This window comes from Homo sapiens, chromosome 10, assembly GCF_000001405.40.
Source record: "Homo sapiens chromosome 10, GRCh38.p14 Primary Assembly".
Taxonomy (NCBI): Eukaryota; Metazoa; Chordata; class Mammalia; order Primates; family Hominidae; genus Homo; species Homo sapiens.
In genome coordinates, this window is record NC_000010.11 from 6,735,029 (window position 1) to 6,739,409 (window position 4,381).

A 4,381-nucleotide genomic window follows, 5' to 3' on the forward strand; every position below is an offset into this window, starting at 1 on the left:
AGTGTCTATTGTTTCCATGTTTATGTCCACGTGTGCTCCGTGTTTAGCTCCCACCTATAAGTGAGACCATGCGGTATTTGTTTTCTGTTCCTGCATTAATTCACTTAGAATAATGGCTTCCGGCTGCATCCATGTTGCTGCAAAGGACATGATCTCATTCTTTTTTGTGGCTCCATAGTATTCTATGGTGTCTATGTACCACGTTTTCTTTATCCAGTCCACCAATGATGGGCATTTAGGTTGATTCCCTATTTTTGCTGTTGGGAGCAGTGCTGTGATGAACATCTGCATACATGTGTTTTCTGGTAGCATGGTTTATTTTCCTGTGGATATATACCTAGTAATTGCATTGCTCAGTTGAATGATAGCCCTGTTTTCAGAGCTTTGAGAGATCTCCAAACTGCTTTCCACAGTGGCTGAGCTAATCGACATTCCCACCAATAAGGTATAAGTATTTTCTCTTCCCTGCTGCCTAGCCAGCATTTGACAGTTTTGACTTTTAGTAATAGCCATTCCGACCGATCTCAGATGGTGCCTCATTAAACACTCAAGGAATCTGGATGCTGTCTACAGTTTGAGAACCCCTGTCCTTCCACACTCCTGATCTCCCCTCGCTTCCTGCTCCCAGTGATTGTTGGGCTTACCCGATAATCCAGAGCCCCGGAAATCCCGAGTTGGTGAGGAAGGCACGAGTCCGGGCGAGTGGCATTTTTAGAAGCTCCTGGGTGACTCTATGATCCTTCAGGATGAGGACCCACTGGATGGAAGGGGAAGGGTTTGAAGAATTCCACAAAAGACCACCCCCCACCTTGCTTCTGGCTTATCTGAAATTGTATCGCTGTGACTTATCCCAAGGAGTTAACCATTTGCCTGTTCTTGCCATCGTTTATTAACATGTAAAGTCATTTCCATCTGATGGATGATTGATCTGTTTGCTCAATCATTAGGTCCATTAATAATTATCACATGTTCAGCTAATGTGACCTGAGAAGTGGGGAAGGGAGGTGCACGGCACCACCATCTTCTCCCTTTGGCAGGCGGCAGTCTCCCAACTATAGAAAACTCACACCAGAGTAAGAGAACCCATCTCCAAAGGTGTCCAACAGAAGTGTTGGACAATGGCTGTACATACGCACACTAACTGGAAAAGAAAGCGAGCCAGGAGAGGCACCGAGTCACACAAGCATGGATCTTGTCTCAATGCTCCAGCGAGGCAGATGCTGGCTCCAGGGGGAGTGGGTGGCTGGCAACTTCCCTAGGGCTTTCTGCATTTTATTGATGAGCAGTGAGAGGCATGAAGGCTAAGCAGCTTTCCCTGGGTCATACAGTGAAGAAGTAGCAGAGCTAGTGTCCCTAACCACCGGGCAATGCTGCCACCTGCCCTATGTTGCAGGTGAGGGGCTTAATGAAGGGGGCAACATGGTGAACTCACTGGTTCATTTCTAATCCTTTTTGCAGCTGTCTTAGCCAGTTGCAGGCTGCAGGCTTACCTCTGTAGAGTGACAGACCAAGTCCACCCTGGGTACCACCATTGCCACACTATCCTGGAACCTCCCCTGAAGGACTGGAAACACAGGGCCATGTCTTGAGACCTAGATAGGAGAAGCACAGCTCTCGTCTAGCAGCTTAGGAGTCACGGGAGGGAGCAGCACCTTGCAGTTCTTGTCGCTGCACCCTAGAGGGGAAGAGGGAAATCTTGTCATTGTCAGCTTGTCCTTCCAGACAAAAGTCACCCCATTAAATTTCCATATCCTACATAGTTAGTAAAGAACATTTACACCTGTATTCCCAGCTACACAGGAGGCTGAGGCAGGGGGCATCGCTTGACCCCAGGAGTTTGAGGCTGCAGTGAGTTATAATTGTACCACTGCACTCCAGCCTGGGCGACAGAGAGAGACCGTGCCTCAAAAAAAAAAAAAAAAAAAAAAAGGAACATCCACAACACTGAACTGACCACCTGTTGAGCTGTAAACTCTAAAATAGCAGAAAGCATTGACTCCACCATGCTTGGCTCACAATATCTCTCATATACTAGGAAAATGAGGCTGAGAGTTAAGGAAATTGGTCAAGGTTGCAGGCAGTGAGTGACAGCTGGGATTCATGAAGACTGTCTTTAAGTGTCACCGCCAACCACTCAGTTATTTTTGTCTCTCAGTATTAATTAATATACTTGAGAATGAATTTATGAAGCTCCCAGAAATGTCAGCTCACAGGCAGAATTCCAGGGCGATGATGCAGAGGCTAAGAACAGAGGAGTCATGTTACCCATTGGCTCTGATTCTTCACCCTACCTGCCCACACCCTTTGCCCAGTGACTTTGCAGTTCCTCCCCTGTGGGGGAAGTGAATTTCCTCCCTCCGTCTCCTTGACTCTGGGTGGGCTGTGTGACTTTTCCTTGCTCAATAGAATGAGAAGGAGGTGGCGCACCGGCTACAAGGCTAGACCGGGGGCTCGCATATCTCCACTTGCAGCTGCCACTGCCATTAGAAGAACTTGCTCAGCCAGCTCCTGGGCCCCAGGAAAAGGACAAGTGTCACCCAGAACAGAGCCACCTCCAGCTGCACTCAGCTCCAGAAGCTGGCCCAGCCGGTCCAGTACACGTGAGAATAAATTGTTGTTGCTTTTACCCATTAGGTTTTGGGGTGATTTGTGATGTTGCATTGTTGCAGCAATAACAAATAAATATAAACAGTGTTTGAGCTGTGGGCTCCAATGGACTTTTGTCACTTATTAGCTCTGGCCATTATTTCAACTTTCTAAATCACAATATCTGTCACAAAGACAGCAAAATAAAAATACCTAAAGTAATATTTTAGAAGGTGCATGCATTTCTGTGTGCTAATTAAATGAGATAATGCTGGTAAGGGCGTTCTGCAGCACCTGGCGCCAGTTGTATTACATTAGCCCTTGTGTGGTGGCCCTGTGCCTGGGAAGGGATTCTGCAGGCAGAGGCCTCTGCATCGGGTGCTGACCACAGCCCTGTGCCCACCAGCTGGTTCCGTAGTTTTCAGATTTTACAGGTTAAACGTGCTGAAAGCAGCACGGGCATACTTGTTCAGCTGAATTAGCTTCCACATGCTGAACATGCCCAGCCTGAGAGAATGATCTGGGCTGTGTGTGTGTGCATGGTCACGTGTGCACAGCAATGTGAGTGTTTATTCTTACTGGAATGTGAGCAAAGATGGGGAATATTTCTGCTTCTTGAAAATTCTGCATAAAACCTTCATCTGTGTTTCTGTTATTGCATAAAGTTGGGCACTCCATTTCTTGGAGTCAACGTTTAAAAGAAAAGACTAATAGCAGGAAATGCTGGTCTGTCTTCCTCCAGCTTTTAAATAATGTCCTCTACGTGCCGGTGTGGAAGTAGCCCGGATGCAATTGAATGAACAACAGACGGTGCTTTCCAGGACGGCGCTGTGCTTTCCAGGATGGTGCTGTGCTTTCATTCATTTGGGTAGCTCCTCTGTGAGCCTCCCAGCGCCGACTGCAGAGCCCCCACTCTCCAGCCTGCAAGACCCCGAAATTCAAGCCACACAAAGAAAGGAGGAGGGGGCCGTTGGCATTTACTGAACCTTATAAAACTGTCAGCAAAACAGCCCTTAGGCTTGGACTCCCTGCTAGCCGGGTTTTACGGTGCTGAAGTCAGCATCTTGATTCAGCTGCATAAATAATCTCCTGCAGTCCTGCAAGGCCTGGGGTAGGAGAGGGTATGGGGACCAGGGCACTCTGTAAGGGCTGGGATAGGAACCCCAGGGAATAAGACAGACCAACTGCGGGACTTCAGACTCCACTGCAGCCGGGATCGGGTTGTTGTTAATTTCTTAAGCAATTTCTAAATTCTGTATTGACTCTCTCATGCATGTAACTGATCCTTAGATATTGTCAGCCAAATGACTAAAGGATTTAGAAATCTGATTGACTTTTGGAAATCTGATTGACTGGCACACTCTCTCTGCCTCTTTCTTTCTCAACATTTTATTTCTAACTATAGTTTCTTCTGTTTTTTTTAGTTACCCTAAGCAGATCAGACATCTCACTTTCAAAAAATACCTTTCAAAACATACCTTTAAAAAATGACTTGCAAAAAAATACCTCACCTCCTCTTATTTTGGCAGTAGTGAGAGTAGTAGCCCCAATGCCAACCAGCATCTCGTCCCTGCCTCTACACCGTGCCCTGGCTGGGAAAAGTTCCATCCCACACATGAGCTGTGGGGTCTGGGCCAGGAGGAGCCATTGCTCTCGCTTATGAAGAAGATAGAGCTGGATCAGTGAATGGTACCAGAGGCACACACCTCAGACCCCGCTCCAGTTCAGGTTCTGTTGCTCAGATCTATCATTTTCTATTTATTCTGTGCGACGGCCCCAAGTTTAGCAATCTAAA

At 47.1% G+C, this 4,381-nt stretch overlaps 1 long non-coding RNA gene across 1 annotated transcript, besides 3 other annotated features; it reads left to right on the top strand.

The window, feature by feature from the left end:
- Window positions 1,741-2,940: an enhancer, noted in NCBI's record as "MED14-independent group 3 enhancer chr10:6778731-6779930 (GRCh37/hg19 assembly coordinates)". NCBI's record gives its function as "activates an origin of replication core promoter dependent on BRD2, BRD4, P300/CBP and CDK7 cofactors, and independent of MED14, by STARR-seq in HCT116 cells {active_cell/tissue: HCT116}" and the evidence as "EXISTENCE:reporter gene assay evidence [ECO:0000049][PMID:35650434]".
- LINP1 (lncRNA in non-homologous end joining pathway 1) lies at window positions 2,354-3,911 on the top strand. Its single transcript, NR_138480.1, has 2 exons — window positions 2,354-2,600; window positions 3,329-3,911. It is a non-coding gene; the product is annotated as a lncRNA in non-homologous end joining pathway 1 (long non-coding RNA).
- Window positions 2,987-3,532: an enhancer, noted in NCBI's record as "H3K27ac-H3K4me1 hESC enhancer chr10:6779977-6780522 (GRCh37/hg19 assembly coordinates)". NCBI's record gives its function as "activates a minimal SCP1, AML or CMV promoter by ChIP-STARR-seq in primed H9 embryonic stem cells {active_cell/tissue: H9 hESC(primed)}" and the evidence as "EXISTENCE:reporter gene assay evidence [ECO:0000049][PMID:30033119]".
- Window positions 3,533-4,076: an enhancer, noted in NCBI's record as "H3K27ac-H3K4me1 hESC enhancer chr10:6780523-6781066 (GRCh37/hg19 assembly coordinates)". NCBI's record gives its function as "activates a minimal SCP1, AML or CMV promoter by ChIP-STARR-seq in primed H9 embryonic stem cells {active_cell/tissue: H9 hESC(primed)}" and the evidence as "EXISTENCE:reporter gene assay evidence [ECO:0000049][PMID:30033119]".